The sequence below is a fragment of the Homo sapiens genome, chromosome 5 (assembly GCF_000001405.40).
Source record: "Homo sapiens chromosome 5, GRCh38.p14 Primary Assembly".
Taxonomy (NCBI): domain Eukaryota; kingdom Metazoa; phylum Chordata; class Mammalia; order Primates; family Hominidae; genus Homo; species Homo sapiens.
The window spans coordinates 171510777-171533851 of record NC_000005.10 but is presented as its reverse complement, the minus strand read 5'-3'; the positions used below and the strand labels follow the sequence as shown (position 1 = coordinate 171533851).

Here is a 23075-nt window from a genome sequence, read left to right as displayed (position 1 = left end):
AATTCTACCAAAAATGACTAAAGGGCTAAAATCTTTATCAAGGGCAAATTAGTTAAGAAAGACACAAAATCAAAAAATAAGTGGGCAAAGGATATAAATTATTATGTCACAAAAAAACCGGGATTTAACAATAAGATACCATCTCACACCAGTCAGAATGACTATTATTATTAATAAAAAGTCAAAAATAACAGATGCTGACGAGATTGTAGAGAGGAAGCAACACTTATATATTGCTGGTAAGAATGTAAATTAGTTCAGCCATTGTAGAAAGCAGTCTGGAGATTTCTCAAAGAATTCAAAATAGAACTACCATTCTTCCCAGCAATCTCATACTGGGTACATACCCAAAGAAATATAAATCATTGTACCACAGATACATTCACACGTATGTTCATCATAGCACTATTGACAGTATCAAAGACATGGAACCAACACCGACATCAATAGTGAACCAGATAAAGAAAATGTGGTACATATATACCATGAAACACTATGCAGCCATAAAAAAGGAGATCATGTCCTTTGCAGCAACATGGATACAGCTGGAGGCCATTATCCTAATCGAATTAATGCGAGAACAGAAACCCAAATACCACAAGCTCTCACATGAATTGTAAGTGGGAGCTAAATATTGAGTCCACATGGACACAAAAAAGGGAACAATAGACACTGAGGCCTACTTGAAGGTGAAGGATGGGAGGATGGTAAGGATTGAAAAACTACCTATCAGAGGCCAGGCACGGTGGCTCACACCTGTAATCCCAGCACTTTGGGAGGTCAAGGTGGGCGAATCTCCTGAGGTCAAGAATTCGAAACCAGCCTGACCAACATGGAGAAACCTTGTCTCTACTAAAAATACAAAATTAGCCAGACTTGGTGGTGCATACCTGTAATCCCAGCAACTTGAGAGGCTGAGGCAGGAGAATCACTTGAACCCGAGAGGCAGAGGTTGCCATGAGCTGAGATAGCGCCATTGCACTCCAGCCTGGGCAACAAGAGCGAAACTCCATCTCAAAAAAAAGAAAGAAAGAAAAACTACCTATCAGAGGCTATGCCAATTACCTAGGTGACAAAATTATCTGTACGCCAAACCCCCGTGACGTGCAGTTTACCCATGATATACCCAACCTGCACATGTACACCTTGGCATAAAATAAAAGTTGGAAAGGAAAAAAAATCTGGATTTAACTTATTTTTTAAAAAACAGGGAATTCAACTTCACCAGCAATCAAAGAAATATAAATTAAAACAAGAAGATGTCAATTCTCTGTTGTCAAATTAACAACAGTTTTAAAGTTTAAAAGTATATAACAGCCCACGCTGATGAGGATGGAGTCATACAGGCATTCTCAATATTTACATGTGGACATGTGAATATATATATATAGGAAATTAACAATGTATAACAGAATTTGTTAAGAGTATTCAAGACCTTTGGCTCAGTAATTCTACTTCTGAGCATCTATCTTAGGAAAGCAATATTTTTTTAAAAAATTAAATTTTATTTAGAATAGTTTAAAAACTGAAACAACTTTAATCTTCAGTAATATTGGGATGATTGGGGAGATGTCAACCTATTAATTCACTTAAAATAATATTATAAAGATCTACAGTGATATGTAAAAGATATATTAATAAATTCAAACAAAAACACATAAAATGCTTATCACCTAATATTAAATGAAGAAAAATCAGGAAGAAAAAACTGCCTATGTAGTGGAATCCATACTCTGTAATAATCAAAATTAAATAGAGTAAAAAAGACAAGAAAGAAATAACTCAAAATGTAAAAAAATTAATGTGATTGGAACATCAGTGATTTAAGGGTTTTCTTCATATTCATCTTATTATCCAGTTTCTTTAATTCCTTATAATGAGAAAAAAGTAAGTAAGCTATACTTTTAACAGACAGAAAAGAACAAAGATGTCTGCAATCTCTATATCATAAATAATAAAGTGCAATGAAGCCAAGTACACGCCCGACCTGTCTGCCCCACCCTGTCTTCCTTCCCCTGAAAGCAGTTCTGGCTCACTCTGTTAGCATGGAACAAATTCACACAGTGCACAAATGTCAGCACACCCAAACAGAAGAAAAAGAAGGAAAAAAAAAAAAAAAGCACAAAATAGAGAAATCTAATGAAACATACGAAGCACCATCAACTTGATACTTAATAGAAATGCCCAAGTAAGATAAAAGCATCTGATCTTCCTGACCTGGGCTTTTTTGTTTAATCTAGAAATATTGAAAAGTGGGCAAAATAGAAAAGGATACTTGAAAAGTGGATTTTAAAAATCTCAAGGGTCTCAAGGGGATTGAAATATTCTTATCTCAAAAGAAATATAAATTTGGTACGTAAAAATTTCTCTGTGAATTTGGGGATGGGTCAATGGAGGCCGCTGTCCTCAGGCAAAAGAGAACCAGCCTTGGGAGTTTAAATCTCCACTCCTTCCTTGGCTGGCTGGATGCGCTCTGTAAGGCACGTCTTCCTTTCCCACAGGCTCAGTCTCCTCATCTGTAAAATAGGCATGCCACCTTCCTAGGTCATAACCAGGAGTCTCTGCTCATTACGACTTCTCTTTTTATTAATTTGTATTTTATTTTTCTTTAGAGACAGGGTCTCACTCTGTAGCCCAGGCTGGAGTGCAGTGGTGCAATCGTAGCTCACTGCAGCCTTGGACTCCTGGGCTCAAGCTATCCTCTCACCTTGGCCTCTTGAAGCACTGGGATGACAGGTGTGAGCCACCACATCTGACCCCACTTCTCTATTAATTAAGCAGCTCCTCTCTGCTGGAGCTGGGCAAGTGCTTCATTATTATCCTAATGAATCAATAATAAGATAGCAAGTGTTAAAAGTGTAGAGGTTACATGTATTCTTGTCTACTTTCCCTTGATGAATTGCTTTTAGATAAAGTTTGCACCCTGAATGCTAGACCCCAAGTAGCAAGGGTCCAACATGGGTTATTTGATCCAACTCTGCACTCAGGCAGGTCTTGAGTTCTCCAGTACATCTACCATGGCTTCCTTCAATCATCAGGCATTTATTGAGCACCTACTCTATGCCAAGCACTGTGCTGGGTGCTGGAGATGTACCCACAGACAAGGCAGCACTGGGCCTTGCTGTCCCAGAGTTTAGGACAGGGACAGAAACAGACCAGGAAAATAGGTCTTTGCAAGACCAACTGATATGTGAAGGATAACAAATCCCAGCTTTACCATTTACTATCCATGTGACCTTGGACACGCGATGCCACCTCTCTATACCTCACCTGTGAAGGGCGGACAATAATAGTTCCCACCTCAGAGGGCATTGAGAGGCTAAAGGGAACTAATATGTATTGAGTGCTTAGAACAGTGCTTGGCACATGCGGACATTATGGAAGCACTTGCTATGAGCATTAGTGTTCACTAATATTTGTATTAGTGTTAGTATTGACATTAAACTTAGTACTAGCCTTAAGGACAGGCACTGTGGCTCATGCCTGTAATCCCAGCACTTTGGGAGGCCAAGGCGGGCAGATCACTTCAGGTCAGGAGTTTGAGACCAGGCTGGTCAACATGGTAAAATCCTGTCTCTACTAAAAAATACAAAAAAAATTAGCAGGGAGTGGTGGTGCATGCCTGTAAGCCCAGCTACTCAGGAGGCTGAGGTGGGAGAATTGTTTGAACCTGGGAGGTGGAGGTTGCAGTGAGCCAAGATCGCACCACTGCACTCCAGCCTGAGCAACAAAGCGAGACTCCATCTCCAAAAAAAAAAAATTTAATTAAATTAAAAAATAAATAAACTTAGTACTAGCTTTAAGATTAGCATTAGTACTATTGTTAGCAGTATTTTTAGTAGTTATAGTACTGTTGTTAGTAGTTAATCAGTAGTAACATAAGCAAAGCACTGGGGATACAGAGCAAAGTTACCTTATCCAGCCTGGAGATGGGGATGAGTAGGGAAGACTTCCTGGAAGAAGTAACATTTAAGCAAAGACCTGAAAAATCAGTAGAATTCACTTGGTGAATGTGATGGTGGGAAAGTATTCTAGGAAGAGAAGACTGTGTGTGCAAAGGCCCAGAGTGGACAGAAAGCAGAATGCATCTGTACAGTTAACTCCGAGAAGGCCCTCTAAAGTACAGAGCGCTCCGAGAAATGGGGGCAGAGATAAAGCTGTTGAAGGCAGGAAGGAGAGGGCAGGTCCTGCAAGGTCTGTGGGCCAATATGGGGAGTTTAGACTCTACCTTGAGGTCACTGAGGGCTCTTGGTATGGACATTACATGATCAGATTTGGCTTTTAGAAAGACTTTTCAGGGGCCATGGGGAGGGATTGAAGGAGGGTTGGCTGGAGGCAGGGAGTCCAGGGCGGAGGCAGCTGTCATCATTAGGGGAGGGAGGATGACGATCCACCAAAGCCTTGGCAACGAGGTGGAGAGAAATGAGCGGGCCCAAGAGATTTAGAGGATACAGCAGGATGAACCCAGTGTCTGCTGGGATGAGGAGGAAGCCAGAGGAAGGCAGGCTTCTGGCCTGAGTGGCAAGGACGTGGTTTTGAGATGTTTTTAACTTCTCGGATTTCAAGTCTGAATTCATACTGAGATAATGAAGTTCTTGGAGGGCCCAGGACTGTTTTAAGCATCTGTGAATCTCAGGGGCCTGGTACACAGTGGGTGCTCAATGAATACCTCTGACTCGGGCCCTTCCCAGCCACCAGCCGTTCCACTGGGCTGAGCCACTGCCAAGCCCTTTACCACGGAAAACCAAACCGCAGTGGGTTTCCAGAAATGTGGAAAACATCCCCTCAGGAATCCACACGTCCCCACGGCTCTCCTGTGCTGCAGAGGAGTGGCAGGAGTGGGGAGCCAGGCTGGCGAGGAAGGCTCCGGGCTGGAGGTCTTGCTGCTCAGGAGAGCCGTAAGGAGCCCTCGGGGAAGGCTTGGAAGAGGGTGAGCGAGGGAAGGGCTCTCCTAGAGTTCAGGCGTGTGACCGATCCCACACATGGGCTCCATAGCTCTCAGGAGCCATGAGGAAAGGCCGGGACAGGAATGTGAAGGCAATAAAAATCTCCGACCCACCCAAAGCCGTGCACACCACAGCCCCCCCACCCAACACACACACACAGAGACCACCTCCTCACCACCATTTATCCAGCATCTGTGAGGGGCCCTGTGCCCCGTGGTTCTTGTATAGCTCTGAGGCACAGGATGACTGATAGGGAGGTGAACTCACTTGCCCAAGAACACACAGCCAGTTGGGAGGGATGCAGGATTTGAACCCGGCATGTGTGATCCTTGCTTGCTTTTAAACACCATCCAAAAGGCCAAAGTCTGGAGCTGGTGGCCATGAGGTCAACTCAGCAAGCACATGTGTTTTGTTTGGACCTGACACTGTTCTAAAAAGTGGGAAATTTCACATAAAAATCCAGGTTTCCGGCTTCTCTTTAGAAACCAGATCTGTCAACCCTAGGCCCACATTTCCGTAGGGCCACAATTGGCCGGGCTGAGGAGTGGCTTTCCCTTAGATGAAGCTGTACACTCTGCTCCGCAGCCCACGTGCCTCACTGATGTCCCCTGCCTGGTCTCGGAAGGCATTGACTTTGACTGACAGGCCCAGGAGCTCCCTCCCAGGAGACAACCCTATACCCTAAAGTAAAGATTCTGGCCCAGGTGCAGTGACTCACGCCTGTAATCCCAGAACTTTCGGAGGCCAAGGCAGGCAGATCACCTAGGTCAGGAGTTTGAGACCAGCCTAACCAACATGATGAAACCCCATCTCTACTAAAAATACAAAAATTAACCCGGTGTGGCGGCAGATGCCTGTAGTCCCAGCTACTTGGGAGGCTGAGGCAGGAGCATCTCTTGAACCTGGGAGGCAGAGGTTGCAGTGAGCCAAGATGGCGCCACTGGGTGGCAAGTCTGGGTGACAAGAGCAAAACTCCATCTCAAAAAAAAAAAAAAAAAAGATTCTGAGTTCCCTTTCTCAGCAACCTTTTGCACCCTCTTTTTTCCCATGTTGAGTGCATGATCTTTAAAGTCAGGCGGGAGACCAGTGGCTTCCCACTTCTAGCCTCAGTTTTCTCATCTCTAAAATGAGGATGTTAACAGTATTGATCTGACAGGGCTACGGAGAGAATGAGATGAGCTCCCAAATTCCGAGTTTGGGCCAAGTGAGTCCTCTCTTCCCCATTCTATGGAACAGAGTAGGTTCAGGGGTTGCTAGCAGCCACTGGGAGCCCCAGGTAGGACAACATCTGTCAGAGTGGAACTGTAACAGGCCACGTTAATGGGTTCCCTGGGCTGGATGAGATGCCACCCTGGGCTCCCACAGTCGTGGGGCTGACCCCTTTCTACAGCTTGTTGGCCTGGTGAACTTGCTGGTTCCTTCCACGTACTGCCCTTTTTAAAACACACACTCTGTGAAGGCAACAACCACGTTTTCTTCTATCTGTACCCTGAGGGCTCAGTATATATTAGGAAAATCTCTAAGTGATGGAAGGTCCTGGGCTCAGTCCTTGGACCTCTTCTCTTCGCTGTCTACACTCGCTCACTTTGTGATCTCATCCAGTCTGAAGGTTGTAGACGCCATTCCTATACCAGATTGATGCCTCCAGCCCAGACCTGCTCCTGACCCCAGACTGGATATTGAGCTGTCTTCATGGTGTCACTGCTTAAAGATCTAATGGGTGCCTTAGGCTCAACATATCCAAAAGGAGCTTCTCATATTTGTTCCCCCCAACAAAACCACCTCCACCCACAGCCTTCCCTCTCAGGTGATGGCAATCTTTCCAGTTGTGCAGGCATAAAAACAAAATCATCCTTGATGTCTCTCTTCCTCCTTCACCTCACATGGAATACTGATGGTTCTTGCCACCTCCACTACTATTACCCTGGTCCAAACCGACATTATCTCTTGCCTGGATGGTTGCAATAGCTTCCTAATGGGTCATCATCCTGCTTGGACACTTACCTCCTGACGGGCTATTTTCTACACAAGACCTGGAGTGATCATTTTGTTTTGTTTGTTTGTTTGTTTTTCAGGCAGAGTCTTGCTCTGTTGCCCAGGCTGGAGTGTAGTGGCGCCATCTCGGCTCACTGCAACATCCACTTCCTGGGTTCAAGTGATTCTCCTGCCTCAGCCTCCCAAGTAGCTGGGATTACAGGTGGGCACAACCACACTCAACTAATTTTTGCATTTTTAATAGAAAGGGGGTTTTACCATGTTGGTCAGGCTGATCTCGAACTCCTGACCTCAGGTGATCCACCCGCCTCGGCCTCCCAAAGTGCTGGGATTACAGGTGTGAGCCACTGCTCCCAGCCTCCGGAGTAATCATTTTAAAACCACAGTTGGATCATGTCTTCTCTGCTCAAAGCCCTGTGATAGCACCGTTTTTACTCAGAGTAGATGCCAGAGCTCTTCACAATGGCCTACAAAGCCGTACATGGCCTTGAGCCCTCTTTGACCTCATGTCTCTCTCCTTCCTTTACAGAGTTTCAGTGACTTGCACAAGTCCCTCAGCTAGGAAGGAAGCAAACTGGACCTAGAAGTCTGTTTGAGCTTCAGGATTCTCAATCTTTCAATTACAAAGCACAACTTCCCAGCAAGTCTCATTGCTTTTCCTGGCCTGCAGTTTCCTCACCTGTAAAATAAGATACTTCCTCCCACCTAGATTACATCTGAGGGGGTGGCATTAGACACTTTCTAATATTACATTCCACCTCCAATATTTGATGAACCTGAATGAGGCCTCAGCAGGAGCTGTGTTCTAGTCATTTCTACACCTCTGATGCCTGGCAGTTAGTAAACATGGGATGGGTGGGTGAATGGATGAGTGGATGGATGAATGGATAGGTGGATGTAGGTAGAAGAATGGATAGATGGATGGATGGATGGGTGGATGGATGGATGGATGGATGGGTGGATGGATGGGTAGGTGGGTGGGTGGATGAATGGATGGATGGACAGATGGACAGATGGATGGATAAATGAATGGTTCAATAAATAAATAAATAAATAAATAATGTTTAAGGGACATTCTGAAAGCTTAGCAAAGGAGAAAAGGGAGAGAAAACATTGCCGAAGGGGTGGTTTTTAGGAGCTCTGATTTAGAGCTGGAGGGTTAAGATGATAGCCAGGACAGAAAAGCTTCCCTTACTTACCAAATTCTCCACAGGAGACCAAACTCTGAGCTAATGGGTCATATGAGGGGCAGGTTGGAATAGAAGACAGAACACAGACTTTAGGGTTGAGGGGCCTGGGTTCAAATCTTGTCAGTGCAGGTTTCTAGTTGTGTGACTCTAAGCCCTGGTTTTCTCAGGGGCATGGGGGAATCATATAATCCTTTTTTCTTGTGGTCGTTGTGAGGAGTAGATGAGATATTAACATATATTTGTAAGTGCCTGGCACATAGTAAGTGTGAGGCAATGGTGCTGCCATCATGGCTAGGAAAGGACTCTACCAGAGACAGGGGCCTCAGCCAGACACCTCAAAGCAACTCCTGTCTTGACGCTGCCTAAGAAGCTTTGATGAGGGGTGCCAGAGGCAGAGGCCAAATGCTCTGTCTATATCTGCTGATCTCTGGCCATTGGCTAAGCGGCCCAGCTGGCTTGAGGCCTTCTAGAGTACACAGGATGGGCCAGCCTCACGCAGAGTGGGCCTGGCCACGTCCCTCCCTGACAGGTTCAGAGGGCCTTGTGAAAGAGCCAGCCACCTGCCCTGCCCCTCCAGGCTTAGGGGGAGAACTTGGCTTCAAGCTCCAGAGCCCCAACTTCTCAGGAAGCTCTCAGACATGAGGAACTTTCCGTCCACATTGCAGGAATTTTTTGCAGAAAGGGAAAAAACTAAAAACCTTCATCCTTTGGCCTCTGGGAGAATATTCCTTTTATGTGAAACTGGCAGGGAGGAAAATTCAAGATTCCTTCTCCTTCGCCTAATTGATATCAACATGAAATATTCTGGTGTTGTTTTAATAAGACTTTGGTTTTCCAGCAAGAGTAGGGGAAAAAAAGAAAAAAAGATCTTCTCCTGGACCAGAATATTTTTAGCGAAAATATTTTGCTTGCATCCTCCCTGCCCCCTCCCTTCCCTGTTCCTGCCTGGCTTCAAAGGCACAGCAGCGCCGTTCTGGGGTGCTAAACAGCGGCCCACACTCGGCAGCCCCCTCCTCCCGTTGCATGGCAGGCCGGCCGGCCAGAGAGTGCCAAGCCAGGAAGATATTTTTTCCAGAAGCGGCATCTGGCTGCTTGGCAGCCGCACAAGCAGTTGTGCTGGCAGCCAGGGCTGGCCGGGGTCTGCCGTGCGTTTAGGCTGCTGCCTCTTCTGACTCTCTCTCACAAACACAGTGTTCTCTCTCCCAGGCTGGGCCTCTCCTGTTCTCACCCCTCACGAGGATAGGGGGACCTTAGAGCACCTGGGGGCTTTGCCCCTGGCCTCCCGACAGGATCTGACATGGGAGGCCCACCTGAGCTTCATCTCTTGCCAACTTGCCCTTGGGCAGGTGGTTTAACTCTTCTGAGCCCTCAGTTTCCTCGACTGCGAAAAGGGAGTCGTCAGCACCCACATGAATGAGGCTGTCTGTCTGCTCTGGCCCCTGCCTGACTCCCCGAGAGAATCTCTTACATGCTTCCCATCACACGTGAAAGTCCCTGAAAGCATGGCCTCTGCTTTCTCAGGCTCTCAAAGCCTTTGCCATCCCAGAGCCTTTGCACTTGCTGTGCCCTGCCCACCTCTGCCCACCTTTCAAACAGCTGACTCCTGGCACTTCAGCTCAGAACTCAAAAGCCACCTCCTTCAAGACGCTCCCTGGATTCCCCATCTCCAGCAGCCCCTCCTGACCTGTGATCCCAGCTCCTGGCGCTCTCCCGCAGAGCAGCTATCACAAACCGCTCCGTGCATCTGGTCTTCACTCCTCTGCCATCCCAGGCACAGGGCTCCATGAGAGCAGGTTTCCCATCTGTCATGTCAATCATCAATCCCAAGCACCTTGCATAAGACTTTCCCAATGACATGTAGATGAACGAAAGGGCCCCCAGGCCCACTGGACATGTCTCTTGCATCTCCCATTGACAGCCCTTGGGGGTCATGATGTCCCCAACCCACCCCCTCGGAGAAGGGAAGGAAGGAGGCCAGCTTCCAGTGTATGCCTCCTCCCCGCAAAAGAGGAATTATTATCGCTGATATACAAATGTGGATTCTGAAAAGTTGAGGGGCTGGCCTGTTGTCACACAGCCAAAGTGTAGCCAGCTCTGCCTAACCCCATTGCCCTCCTTCTTCCACTCCCCACAGCTGGTCCTACCACTGTGCCATGTGAGCTGTAGGCTCGGGTGTGATGCTGTAAGGAACACTGATGACAGCTCCCATGCAAAGTCCTTGTGCCATGCTGGGTGCCCTCCATCCATCATCTCATTAAACTCACAACAGCATTACAAACGGGGATCATTAAATCTCATTGTATAGGTGAGAACACTGAGGCTCACAGGAATGAAATGGTCTCCCTGGGCACACAAAGGAAGTAGGGGAGTTCCTTAAGTGCTGAATGGAATGGACCCACTGCTAAAGTGAGATCCCATTAACATGTGTACCATGCTTTCTGATGCACCTTCAACATCCGCTATTGACCACACAGCTAGCATGCACCTGCGCTCAACAATTAGTCATTGCATAGATGAATGGATGGATGGATGGATGGATGGATGGATGGATGGATGGATGGATGAATGGTTGGATGGATAAATGAATGAATAGATCCAGAGCTGACATATGAATCTTGATCCATATCAAAAACCAAAGTCCCAACTGAGCACAGTGGCTCACATCTGTAATCCTAACACTTTGAGAGGCCAAAGCAGGAGGAATGCTTGAGGCCAGGAGTCCAAGGCCAGCCTGGGCAACATAGCGAGATCTTGTCTCTACAAAATAATCTTTTAAAAAATTAGCCAGGCATAGGGACTTGCAGCTATAGTCCCAGCTACTCCAGAGGCAGAGGCAGGAAGATCGCTTAAGCCCAGGAGTTTGAGAGTTTGAGGCTGCAGCGAGCTTCGATCCTGCCACTGCACACTATCTTGGGTGACGACAGAGCAAGAACTTATCTCAAAAAAATAAAAAGAACCAAGGTCCCAATTCTGGCTCTACTCACCATCCGAGGCCTAGACCAGGGTCTAAAACCCGTGGATGCCCAGACGCCAGCTTCAAGGAATACAGACTCCCCAGGAGCTGGCCCCACAATGAAACCATTGCAAGCAGCCCTCACAATTCTGTCTCCCATCCTCGTCACCCCATAGAGGGGCCGGGGTCAGAAATGATGATCATGGCTAATCCAGTGAGTTCTCCAGCCACCTTCTAAGTGGTCACCCAATTCTACCTCTCCTTGAGTCATCTGAATGAGAATGTTGGAGAGTAACCTGAGACCGCAGGGAAATGGAGGCACAGAGAGGGGAAGGGACTTGTCAAGGTCAGTCAGCCTTGGTTCCTGGGGTTGAGCTTGATCTGCATGGAAAGAGCCTCAAACACCATTTTGTGCTAGCTCCCTGGGATCCTTTGCCTTGAGTACATTTTTATAGCTCCTTCTTTGCAGACGGAGTGCTTGGGGCCCAGACACAGTCCTTGTGCCTGTGGAGGGGCAAGCTGATCAGCCTCGAGACAGCCTCCAGCTTCACCGGCAGCCCTGACAGCTTATCAGACCCAATCAAACACACATCCAAAATGGTTTTCTAGGCCAGGGAGGAGGGTGGAATATTCATCCGGTCAAGCAAAGTGTCACACTGGTTGTCCATACTCTCAGCCTGGTATTCAGAGCACACCTCTCTGCGTTTCAGTTCATCTCCTAGCTTTACACTGTTGGCCTTCCAGCAGGGCTATAGCCACTGCAAGACCTTTGCAAATGCTATCTGTCCTTTCTGCCTGGAGGCACGTTCCTGCTTTATCCCTTGTAGAATTCTCACTCCTCCTGTAATGCCACCTTGGAGGCCCCACCCTTGAACTTTCCTCCTACCTGGCTCCTCCCACTTCTCCATCCCAGCATTCTGTTCCATCATGGCCTTGTGATGGAGTTGTCTCCTGCCCTGGACTGTGAGTTACGTGCAGAAGAAACCTTGTCAAATAATCTTGTTACCCATCCCCTCACTGGTCAATCCCAGCACCTGGCACATTTAAGGGTCTGTCCCTGATGTCCTGACTCTCTGAAGGCTTGACCTCTCCTGCAATCACCGAGCTCTGTTCTGAGATGTGATTTGTTCTGAAATGTTCTTACTAACTTGGGTGAATCCTCTGTACTGCAGAGGAATGCAGCCCTTTAGCAGCTTTTTCAGATGACTCACTAGGGGCTGAGGATGATTAAGGGAGCATTAATGTTACTCTTTTCTCTCCAGTTCCTAAAACCTCCCTGGCCTGCTCACAGATGTATTCCCAGCACCCGACACCAGGCTGGCACAGGCCTTGTTTCTTGCAAGAGGAAGAAATGAATAAAGGCAGCTCTCAGCCCAGCAGCCCCTAAGCTGTCTACATCTGCAGCTTTCCCTATCTCCTAGGGTGACATAACACAAATGTCACAGGTTGCAAGCTGAAGAGGCCTGGGGTTGAATCTTAGTTCTGCCTCCTCCCACAGTGAGAAGGTGGGCAAGTTCCAGGAGTGACAGTGCAGAATGCTGGAGCTTGCTGGAGACTTAAAGGTGCGATGGCACAGAGGCACGGGGCATGACTGCAGCTTGGGAAAGGTCTGTCCCACCCTCCCCCCATTGCCCTCCCTCATACCTCCCCCACATCTCAAGGGCCTTTGTCTGTTCCCATCTGCCTCTGCCCTGGGCAGAGGCTGCCCTGCCTGCCTGCAAGCTCTGCCTGCTGTTGCGGGGCAGGTGGGTCTGGGAGGGCCAGGCCCGGCCATTTCCTCCCTTCCCTTCCCGCCCCGCCCGCCTGCCTGCAGCCAGCTGTGGGGCAGACATTCCTAGGCCTGCTCATTGATATTCAGGAATGGAACTTGAGCCGGCTCCGGGTGCCCAGAGCGGGCAGGCGCTCAGACCCTCTGCTTGGGTTCTTCTGCCCATATTGGGAGGACCTCAACAGCCTCACCAGCCAGAAAGAGCATCCCAGGCCACCGACTCCAGCAGTTGGATGGCAGGGGAAACTGAACCCTGAAGTGGGGACCCCTCAACAGCCCCAGGGCACGCAGGAGTCTGGGGGTGTGGGTGGCTGAGATCTCCCGACTCGCTGCACAGTGCTCATTCTCTGCCAGCCGCCTGAGTTGCAAAGTGTCCCCAGAGCTTCCTGCTCCTCCAGGTGCTTCCGAGTCCTTCCCAGCCCCACACTGCTCTCCGGAGGCCCTGCCCAAGGCCCCATGGAGGGAGGGAGCTGGATCCCAGGCTGGGCTGGCCGGCCTTCCCACACTGTCTCAGCGGGAAGACAGGAGGCTCCTCCCTCCCAGCCGCAGATTGCCAAGCCTCCACCTCACACCTCTGGGTTTTTGCAGATGGGCTTGTTTTTCCTTGGGGTGTGAAAGAGCTGGTTGGTCATCGAAGGGGCCTCCTCCCCTCCAGGCAGCTGCTCAGGCCAGCCACAAACTCCCATCTCCCCAGGAGATGGCCCCTGACCCAGGGGTCACAGGGTGGGGAGGAGGTGGTACCCTCCCAGGACCAGCTGGGACGGGCCTTAGGGGGCCCAGCCCCGAGGACTGAGGCTCCCACCCCAGGAGGTGGCAAAAAGCCCCCTCCATTGCTCCTTGGGAAGCAAGATAAGCACCTTCCCCCCACCCCGTAGGTCCTTCTCACACTTCTCAGCTTCAGCTGAATCCTGTTGGACTCAAGTGTCCACAGGAAGGACACAGGACAAGGCCTCACATCCCTGTAAGGGGGTCCATCCCCTCATACACAGTTCTACAAGCTCCTATCCTCATGCTTTCTGCACAGTCTCTCCCCTGGCCCAGCTTCCAGCCTTCCCTCCTTCCAGAACCTTCTCCCAGGACCCTGAAGAACCCCAGCCCCACAAACAGCACACTGCCTCGCACACAGCTTCCTCCTCTTCCCAGCTCCTCCCTTCCATGGCCTTGGGGAGCCCCCTCTGCCTTGGGGACATCATTTCCTCCCCTCCCTCCCAAGAGAAGGCTGGCTTTCCTCTCTCACCTCAGGACAGGAGACAGAGGCGGTGTCCCCTTGCTTCCATGGCCACTTTCTGGCCTATGCTGCCCACACCTTCCCAAAAACACCTGCTCTCTCAGGACACAGGCTGTTTGCAACATCTCACCCCCCTCACTTGTCCACAGCCTCTTGGGCACTCTTCACTCCCTGAGGAGCCCCCCAACTGCATCTCTTGCCATTGCCCTGGGTCGCTTTGACACCCTCACAGACATCCCTCTCAATGTCCTGGCCCCTCTGTCTTGGACTTCCTCGTCACCAGTGCCCCTCCTCCACCCCGAATCAGCCATCAGGACTAGTCATCACAGAAACTGCACCACTTCCACCATCAAGGACCCAATCAGTACCTTCTTCACCGGCAGCCCTCTCTCTGTCTCTGGGGCTCGGGAGCTCCTGTACTGCCCGCTCCGTCCCCAGACTGTTCTCAAACACATCTCTCTCTGCCTCTGAGAGTTTCCACCCCATGGCTGCAGCCCAGATTCCACGGCCAGCACGGTCATCCCTGTCTGCCCTCTCTGCCTCCGCCACCCCCACCTGCCTGAGCTGCAAGCCTGGGTGACCCTCCAACCCACACCCCTGCTCCTGTGCCTGAACAGCTGAGCTGGGCCAGAGACACTCACCCTGAGGGGCAGCTGGCCTCTGTGCTCCCAGTCCCTGGCCCGCACTGGGTGATCCGCATCGCTGGCAGCCTCTCCCTGGGCCCCAGCCGGCTTCCTTTCCCTCTCTCCACCACGGCCGCCGCATCGTTCCTTTCCTCTCCTCGACCCACCCTCAACCTCAGCCTCAGCAAACTCCTCCCGACCCTCAGGAAGTGGTCTTGTCTTGTCTTGATCTTCATAAAGAAAATGGAGGCCTTCAGATGGGCGTCCTCGGATCTCCCCAGCTCATCTCCCTGCCCCGTGACTCTCCCCTTGTCTCCCCTCACCATGGAGATGGTGGCCCAGCCGCCATCCCCGGCCCTGGGTTCCTGACTCCATCTCTTCGTCCATCTTGCTCTCACCAATGCATTTTCTCCTGAATCTCCATTTCCTCGTTCTCTGCAGGGTGCCTTTTTTTTCAGCATTTTTTTTTTCCTGAGGCAGGGTCTCTCTCTGCCACCCAGGCTCAAGTGCAATGGTGTGATCTGAGCTCATTGCAACCTCCACCTCCTGGGCTCAAGTCATCCTCCACCTTAGCCTCCTGAGTAGCTGGGACTACAGGCACCCGCCACCACACCCAGCTAATTTTTGTATTTTTAGTAGAGATGGGGTTTCACTATGTTGGCCAGGCTGGTCTTGAACTCCTGTTCTCAAGTGATCCACCTACCCTGGCCTCCCAAAGTGCTAGAATTACAGGCATGAGTCACCTCGACTAGCCATCATCAGCATTTTTTAATGTACCAGTCTCTCCCATCTTAAGACAAGAAAAATGTTCTGGACTTCATTCCGCTTCTCAAGCAAATTTCTCAGAATTGTCACTCTCTCCTCATCTCTCCTCATCTCCCTTCCATTCTTCAACTGACTTCAGTCACACTTGCAGCCGCATACTCCAGGAGGCTGCCAATGACAGCCTCGCCACCAAAACTGGGGCCGCATGTCTGCTCCGGCATCCGTGGCCTCCCAGCAGCATTGGAGGTTACCGCTCCCTCCTTCTTCAAAGCTTCTCCTCCCCTTCCCGGTTTTCTCCTGCCTCTGGCTACTCCTCCAGTCTCCCTTGGAGCCAGGGTGACCAAGGTCCCAGCTTGCCCAGGACGGAGAGGCTGCTCGTTATCCTATGTGGGGTGCCACCTTCTCTATCCCTGTTGCTTTCCCAGAGCTTGGTCTTCAGCAACTTTTCTCCCCTCTCTGCTCTCCTGCTCCAAGTGTGATCTCCCGCCCCTGTGCACTTAAATAAAGCCCGTGTGCCAATGACTCCCAAAGGCAGGTCCCAGCCCAGCCGCCCCTACCAAACTCTCTATGTCGCCCTGTCCCACTGTGTCCAGAGCCCCTCCAAGGCAGGGCTACGTGTTATGCCACTCTGTATCCCCACAGTCTGAAAGCCACACAAGACCCTGTAGTGAGAAAGTCAGTTCTAACAGCAGCTAACAGAAACTGAGAGCGCACCTCTTGCTGGGCTCTGCTCAGTGCTTTATATGAGGATATGAGGTCACTCATGCAATTCTGCCAACAATCCCATCGAAGCCCTTTTAGAGGAAGGGAAACTGAGGCTGGAGAGGAGCAGTAACTTGGCCAGCATCACACCACTAGGAAGCATGGAGCCAAGACCTGAGCTCCACAGTCTATGCCCTGACCTCACAGATGAGGCCTCACCTCGTGAGGCAGGAGCCCATGATCCATCTATTGAGTCGAGTTTTACTGGGTTACCTCCCACCCCAGAAGACGTGGAGGCCCTAGAGACTTCAACCAACCTCCTCCTGTTCTTGGAACTGTAGCCAGAGGTACCATTTGCCAAGAACTAAAGAAACATGTAAGGGAATGGTTAGAAGCTTAATCTGGAGTCAGACTTGCTGGTATGAAATGCCAGCTCTTTCTCTTACTGACTCTTGGGGCTTGCTTGAGTAAGTCATTTATTTTGTACCTCAATTTTCTCATTTTTAAAATGGAACATGGTGGCTGGGGGCGGTGGCTCACACCTGTAATCCCAGCACTTTGGGAGGCCTAGGTGGGCGGATCGCGAGGTCAGGAGATCGAGACCATCCTGGCCAACATGGAAAAACTCCGTCTCTACCAAAAATACAAAAATTAGCTGGGCATGGTGGTGCGTGCCTGTAGTCCCAGCTACTCAGGAGGCTGAGGCAGGAGAATCGCTTGGACCCGGGAGGCGGAGAATTGCAGTGAGCTGAGATGGCGCCACTGCACTCCAGCCTGGTGACGGAGTGAGAATCCATCTCAAAAAAAAAAAAAAAAAAAGGAAGATGGTGATAGTAAAGAGTAAAATAAGATAATACAAGAAAGCACATAGCACAGCAGCAGGCACACAGCAGATGAGCCGCAAGTAGTTACTTAGCCTCTGCTATGTATTAGGCACCAAGCTGGATGCTGGGATACAGAATTGAAAACATAGACAGGACGGGGGCTGAGAGGTGTTTACAATCATGGGTGTAGGAAAAGTAACCCTGAGAGAGTTGGTTTCTTTGATAACTGAGTTGCTGAGATTGCGCTTGGGGTGAGAGGGAAGCCATGCACCTATTCACTCTCATACCTCTCTGCCTATTCCCTCTCAAGCACGAGCTAGTCCCTGTCCCAGCTCTAACTAGAAAACTCCTACTTAACCTGTAACACCTAGCCTGATTATTAGCCTCTCTATGGAGCTGCCTCTGATTCCCACTGAACAGAATCAGTGTCTCTTTCCTCGGGCTAACCTTAACATCTTACATATCCTCTTACCAGAGCCACTCAGTCATTCACAGTTTCATCAAACAAACAAACATGTGCTGAGTACCTAGGTACCTATTATGGGCACTGAGGTTACAAATAATAGCTAAATGCTAATGTCTATCGAGTACTTATTATGAACCAGGCAGTTTTCAATGCTTTATATATAATCTTCACAACAACCCTGAAAGATAGGAGATGTTATTTTCTCCACTCTATGGATGGGGACACTGAGATGCAGAGAAGTTCAGTTACCCAGGCCTCACAGCTAGGCAGTGGGGAAGCAAGGACTGCTGCCTGGGCCCACACCCACCCTGCCAGATCACCTTGCAGAAGCCTGAAGAAGTCACAGTCCTTGCCTTCTGTCAGGTTCATCCACTGTTTTTCTAGGGCGACCCCCAATCCGGTTTCCCTAGGACTGAGGAGTTTCCCAGGATGTGAGACTTTCCATGCTAAACCTAAGAAAGTCCCAGAAAAAGAGGGACAAGTTGGCCACCCCAGTCTTCCCTTGAATTGTTGTGGAACCAGATTCATACCCACATCTGTCAGACTCCATACTCGCCCTCCCAAGCAACCTCCAAAGGAAAGAAAGAAGCTCCTGGCTGCTGGTCCCAGCCCTCCCAGTCCGCAAGGACCACAGGCTGGTGGAAATGGGGCTGAGGAGGGGCCAGCTGGAGGCCAGCAGACAGGGAGGGGACCTCAGGGCAGGGGCCAGGCTCACTTCATTCAGGAGTGGCCAAGTCACCACTGACAGGCACCACTCCTGCCTGGCCCCTTCCCCTCTCTCGGGCCTCCTCGCCTCTCTCAGCAGAGGGAGAAGCTGAGATGACGCTTTGCCCCATCAGCCAGGAGCTGAAGAGGACTCAGGCCTCCTTTGTCTAGCCCTTTCCGAGGTGAGGGAGGGTGGGCCACCCAGACAGGTGAAAATGTCTCCCCGGGCATGGTGGCTCACACCTGTGATCCCAGCACTTTGGGAGGCCAAGGCAGGCAGATCACAAGGTCAGGAGTTCAAGACCAGCCTGGCCAACATGGTGAAACCACGTCTCTACTGAAAACACAAAAATTAGCCAGGCATGGTGGCAGGCACCTGTAATCCCAGCTACTCGGGAGGCTGAGGCAAGGGAATTGCTTGAACCCAGGAGGCAGAGGTTGCAGTGAGTTGAGACCGCGCCACTGCACTCCAGCCTGGGCAACAGAGCGAGACTCGGTCTCAAAAAAAAAAAATGAAAATGATGTCTCCCCTTGCCCAGTTCCTCCTCCTTTTTGGCCTAGTCCTAGGGATCCACTCAATATGGATCTCCCTCTAGAGAAAACAGTTTCTGAACAGCAAGGGGAAGGACAAAAGCATTGAAATGGATGAGAAATAAGAATGAATAAAAAGCACCATTCTTGAAAAGAGAAACCTTGAGTAAATGTTGAATCAATCTCAGTAGTATGAAAGTATGGCAACTAGTTCCCATGTTAAAACCTCCTTTACCCCCACATCCCGATCACCCCACTTGCCTTCTCCCCTTGCAGTCAAACGCCTCAAAATAGTCTGTGTTCACTCTCTCCACTTCCTCTCTTCCCATTGTCTCGAACCCACTCCAACTACCCCCTTCCCATCACTACCACGTTTCTGTAACCCCAAGACCTCTAGCCGTCAGCTCCCCTGGTCAGTTTGTAGCCCTCGTCCTCCTCAATCTACCAGCAGCATCCATTTGACACAGATGACCCCTCCCTCCTTCTTGAAACCTGCTTCATGCGTAGCTCCCAGACCCTACTCTGCCTATTCACCTCCTACCCTCCGGCCACTCTTTTCCAGCTGCCTGGTTGGTTGCTCTCCATCCTGTTGCCCCATAAATGTAGGAGGGCCTCAGGGCTCTGCCCTCAGATGTGGACTTGTCCATACACCAACTCCCTTGGAGACGGATCTCATCAGTCTTTCTTCTTTAAATATACCCTTTGCACACCCACTACTCCCAAATTTATATCTTCGATGCAGACCTCTTCCAGACTTGCTGCTCTTTGAATATCCTCAACACCCACCTACATCAAGATCCTCAACACCTACCTACATCCAGATCTTTGCACTTTCTCTTTCTGTACATTCATCAGCAGAGCTGCTCCAAGACACCCTCTCTCGCCACTTTATATATAAAGTAGCACACTTCCATAAACATCATCCACCCCCAAATCTGCTTTCTCTCACTTCATGTCATTTATCACAACTTGTCATGTATTTACTTGCTTATATCTAATAGAATATAATCTCCTTCCATGCTGGAACTTCTTTACTTTGTTTACTGCCTTATCCCCAGCACCTTTAATAAAGATATATATATATATATATATATATATATATATATATATATATGTATGTATGCATGCTATGGTCCTATACCAAAGCAATATCTGGCACAGAGATGGCACACAGTAAATATTTGTGGAATGGATGAATGAAAGAATGAATAAATGAACACAATTGTAAATCATGAACAAGCAAGTAGCTGAATAATGGGTGAATAAATTAATTAAAAGCTACATGAGTGGGAAATAAAAAGTTGTGTACACGGAATACTAGTTAGCAATACAAAGGAATGGATTACTCATGCATGCAACAACATGGATAAATCCCAAATGATTCAGCCAAGTAAAAAAGGGGCCAGACACAGAAGATGTTATAATATATGATTCCATTGATGTAAAATTCCAGAAAATGCAAACAAATCCATAGTGACAGAAAGCAGGGTGGTTACCCGGGCATGGCACTGGAGGGAGGGATGGACTGTGAAAGGGCACAAAAAATCTTTGGGGAGTTGGGAATGGTCTGTGTCTTGATTGTGGCAATGGTTTCATGGGTAGACACATGCAGCTGTTCAAACTCATCAAATTGTTCATTTTAAGCGGATGCAATTTATGGTATAGAATCATACCTCAGTTAAGCTGATTTTTTAAAAAAGAAATAAGTTGGTGAATAAATAAATCCATCAACTTACTCAACATCCCACTCCTTCTCACTACTCCCACCAGGGCTCCAAATACTTGGGTGGAAACCGAAGTGACACATTTTGGGTCTTTCTTTCCTAGACAAGCTTTTCTTCCAGCGAAAATGGGATTGGTATTTATTTAGTACCTGGTATGTACCAGACACTGTGTCCATAATTATTTCAATTCTTCCTAACAAAGGCCTTGTGAGGTGGGCCATATTATTCCCATTTCACAGATAGGAGCACTGAGTCTCAGAAAAGGAGAGAGACATCTCCAGAATCATACAGCCCCAAAATGGCAGAACCAGGATTCAAACCCGTTTCTCAGACTCCTAAGCTATGCCACAAACTTCCTCCCCACCAAGGTCCCCTGTACAAACCTCGTGTGCGTGTGTGTGTGTGTGTGTCTGTGTGTGTGTGTGGCCTTGTACATGTCTCTGATCTTTCAGGGAGAAAGTGTTGCTGCCACCAAGGAGTCCAAATGTGTTTCTCATCATGTTTGAGTTGTCATGAGGAGATTCAAGGAGAAGCAGTAGCCAGGCCAGGTGTTGTCTCTGATCCATTGAGGACAAAGAAATCATCCCAGCTGAAGCAAGAGGGTCAGGCAGTGGTGTCCCTTTTGGGGTGAGGGTGGTGGAGGGGGCTATTCTATGCCCAATGTAGGCCCCAGGAGGTTGTACCAGCCATGTCAGGGATGTGTTTCTATTAAAGCTGGGGTGGCGGACACAGAGGAGACCTCGGTATGATTTCGCTCTATAAAACATAACCTTCCACCTACAGACAAGGAAGAAGGAGAGGAGAGGCAGAGGAATGCAGAAAACCGACATTTTTGAGAACTTAATAATATTTAATGCACTGTGCCAGACACTTGCACACATACCTCACTTGAGCCTCACAGCACGCTGCCAGGTAAATAGTATTTGATTTCCCTTTTATTTTTAGATGAAGAAATGGAGGCTCAGAGAAATGAAGGCACTTGTATCAATCATATAAAGGGTACATGAAATGTTGCTTCTTTTCTACTAACTCTTCCATAAAACAAACTTGCTGACTTTAGCATTTCCCCATTTAGCATTCTCCCAAAGAGATCTATAGATTCCCAATATATCTATTCACACACCCATCTACTTGTTCACCCACCCTCTCATCCATTCCTGCCTACATCTAACACACTTAGTCTTTCAATTATCCACCGGTCCCCTCATTTACTCATTACTCAGACTCCACCAGTCACACAGCCATCCACTGGTCCATGCATATGTGCGTCCATCAGCACTTCATCCAACCACAGGTCTTACTAGACAACATCCAGCTATCCAACCAACATTCAACCCTTACCATCCCGTCCACCCACACATTTACTACTCAACCAGTCACTCACCAATACATATATTCACCTCTCTACCTATCTGCCCACCCACCTACTCACACCACCAATCATTCTATGATTCATCTACCTATTCATTTACTCATTCATTCATTCATTCATCTGGCCTCTAAACACATAACCAATCATATATCTCCATCATCCCATCCACATATCCAGTTATCCATTTATCCGTTCATCCCTCCATTCAGCTATCCAGCTACCCACATTCCATGTATACAAAGACATACAGGCTGGGATAGATAATTTCATGTGTCAGCTTGATGAAACGGCACTATCCAGATTTTTGGTCAAATGCCAGTCTGGATGCTGCTGTGAAAGTATTTGTTAGAAAAATTTAACATTTAGATCGGTAAACTAAGAGTAAAATAGATGACCCTCCATAATGTGAGTGGGCCAGATCTAATCAGTTTAAGGCCTTAAGGAAAAAATGACTGAGTTTCCCCAAGAAAGAAGAAATTTTCCAGACGGTCTTTAGGCTCCAGTTGTAGCATCAACTCTTCCATGCGTCTCCAGCCTGTCAGTCTGCCCTGCAGATTTTAGACTTGCCAGCCCCGACAATCACATAAGCCAATTCCTTAAAATAAATCTGTCTGCGTCTATATATCTATACCCACATCCTATTGATTCTGGTTTTTTTTTTTTTTTTTTTTTTTTTGGTTAAATAAAAATTTAGGTCAGGTGCAGTGTCTTACACCTGTAAATCCCAACACTCTGGGAGGCTGAGGAAGGTAGATCATTTGAGCCCAGGAGTTCGAGACCAGCCTGGGCAACATGGCAAAACCCCATCTCTACAAAAAATACAAATAACAATAATAATAATAATAATAACTGGGTGTGGTGGTGTGTACCTGTAGTCCCAGCTACTAGAGGGGCTGAGATGGGAAGACTGATTGAGCCCGGGAGGTCAAGGCTACAGTGAGCCATGATCACACCACTGCACCCCAGCCTGGACAACAGAGTGAGATCCTGTCTCAAAAAAAAATTGTTTAATTAGGTTACGTAAATGCCCAACATAAACACTTTATGCAAGATTGAAATGCATCTTCAAGTTCAGGTTTTATAAAGATCCTCTGTATATAAAAGCTGCATTTAGTCCCTTGTGCCTAAGAACGTTATACTTACCTGGCAAGGGAGATACCATGATCACCAAGAATGTTCTGTACAAAACCGATGGCAATAGCAATGGTGAATGGTAAGCTAATTTGCAATTCTAAAAACATGAGTTAACAAACGGCTCAAAGTTGGCCGGGTGCGGTGGCTCA

At 48.4% G+C, this 23075-nt stretch overlaps 6 annotated features.

Annotated features, from left to right (window-relative positions):
• Positions 4400-4899: an enhancer, noted in NCBI's record as "H3K4me1 hESC enhancer chr5:170955957-170956456 (GRCh37/hg19 assembly coordinates)". NCBI's record gives its function as "activates a minimal SCP1, AML or CMV promoter by ChIP-STARR-seq in primed H9 embryonic stem cells {active_cell/tissue: H9 hESC(primed)}" and the evidence as "EXISTENCE:reporter gene assay evidence [ECO:0000049][PMID:30033119]".
• Positions 10970-11501: an enhancer, noted in NCBI's record as "H3K27ac-H3K4me1 hESC enhancer chr5:170949355-170949886 (GRCh37/hg19 assembly coordinates)". NCBI's record gives its function as "activates a minimal SCP1, AML or CMV promoter by ChIP-STARR-seq in primed H9 embryonic stem cells {active_cell/tissue: H9 hESC(primed)}" and the evidence as "EXISTENCE:reporter gene assay evidence [ECO:0000049][PMID:30033119]".
• Positions 13104-13636: an enhancer, noted in NCBI's record as "H3K27ac-H3K4me1 hESC enhancer chr5:170947220-170947752 (GRCh37/hg19 assembly coordinates)". NCBI's record gives its function as "activates a minimal SCP1, AML or CMV promoter by ChIP-STARR-seq in naive H9 embryonic stem cells {active_cell/tissue: H9 hESC(naive)}" and the evidence as "EXISTENCE:reporter gene assay evidence [ECO:0000049][PMID:30033119]".
• Positions 13253-13547: a silencer, noted in NCBI's record as "tiled region #286; K562 Repressive non-DNase unmatched - State 21:Repr". NCBI's record gives its function as "represses a minimal TATA promoter and a strong SV40 promoter by Sharpr-MPRA in K562 cells {active_cell/tissue: K562}" and the evidence as "EXISTENCE:reporter gene assay evidence [ECO:0000049][PMID:27701403]".
• Positions 13637-14170: an enhancer, noted in NCBI's record as "H3K27ac-H3K4me1 hESC enhancer chr5:170946686-170947219 (GRCh37/hg19 assembly coordinates)". NCBI's record gives its function as "activates a minimal SCP1, AML or CMV promoter by ChIP-STARR-seq in naive H9 embryonic stem cells {active_cell/tissue: H9 hESC(naive)}" and the evidence as "EXISTENCE:reporter gene assay evidence [ECO:0000049][PMID:30033119]".
• Positions 14171-14703: an enhancer, noted in NCBI's record as "H3K27ac-H3K4me1 hESC enhancer chr5:170946153-170946685 (GRCh37/hg19 assembly coordinates)". NCBI's record gives its function as "activates a minimal SCP1, AML or CMV promoter by ChIP-STARR-seq in naive H9 embryonic stem cells {active_cell/tissue: H9 hESC(naive)}" and the evidence as "EXISTENCE:reporter gene assay evidence [ECO:0000049][PMID:30033119]".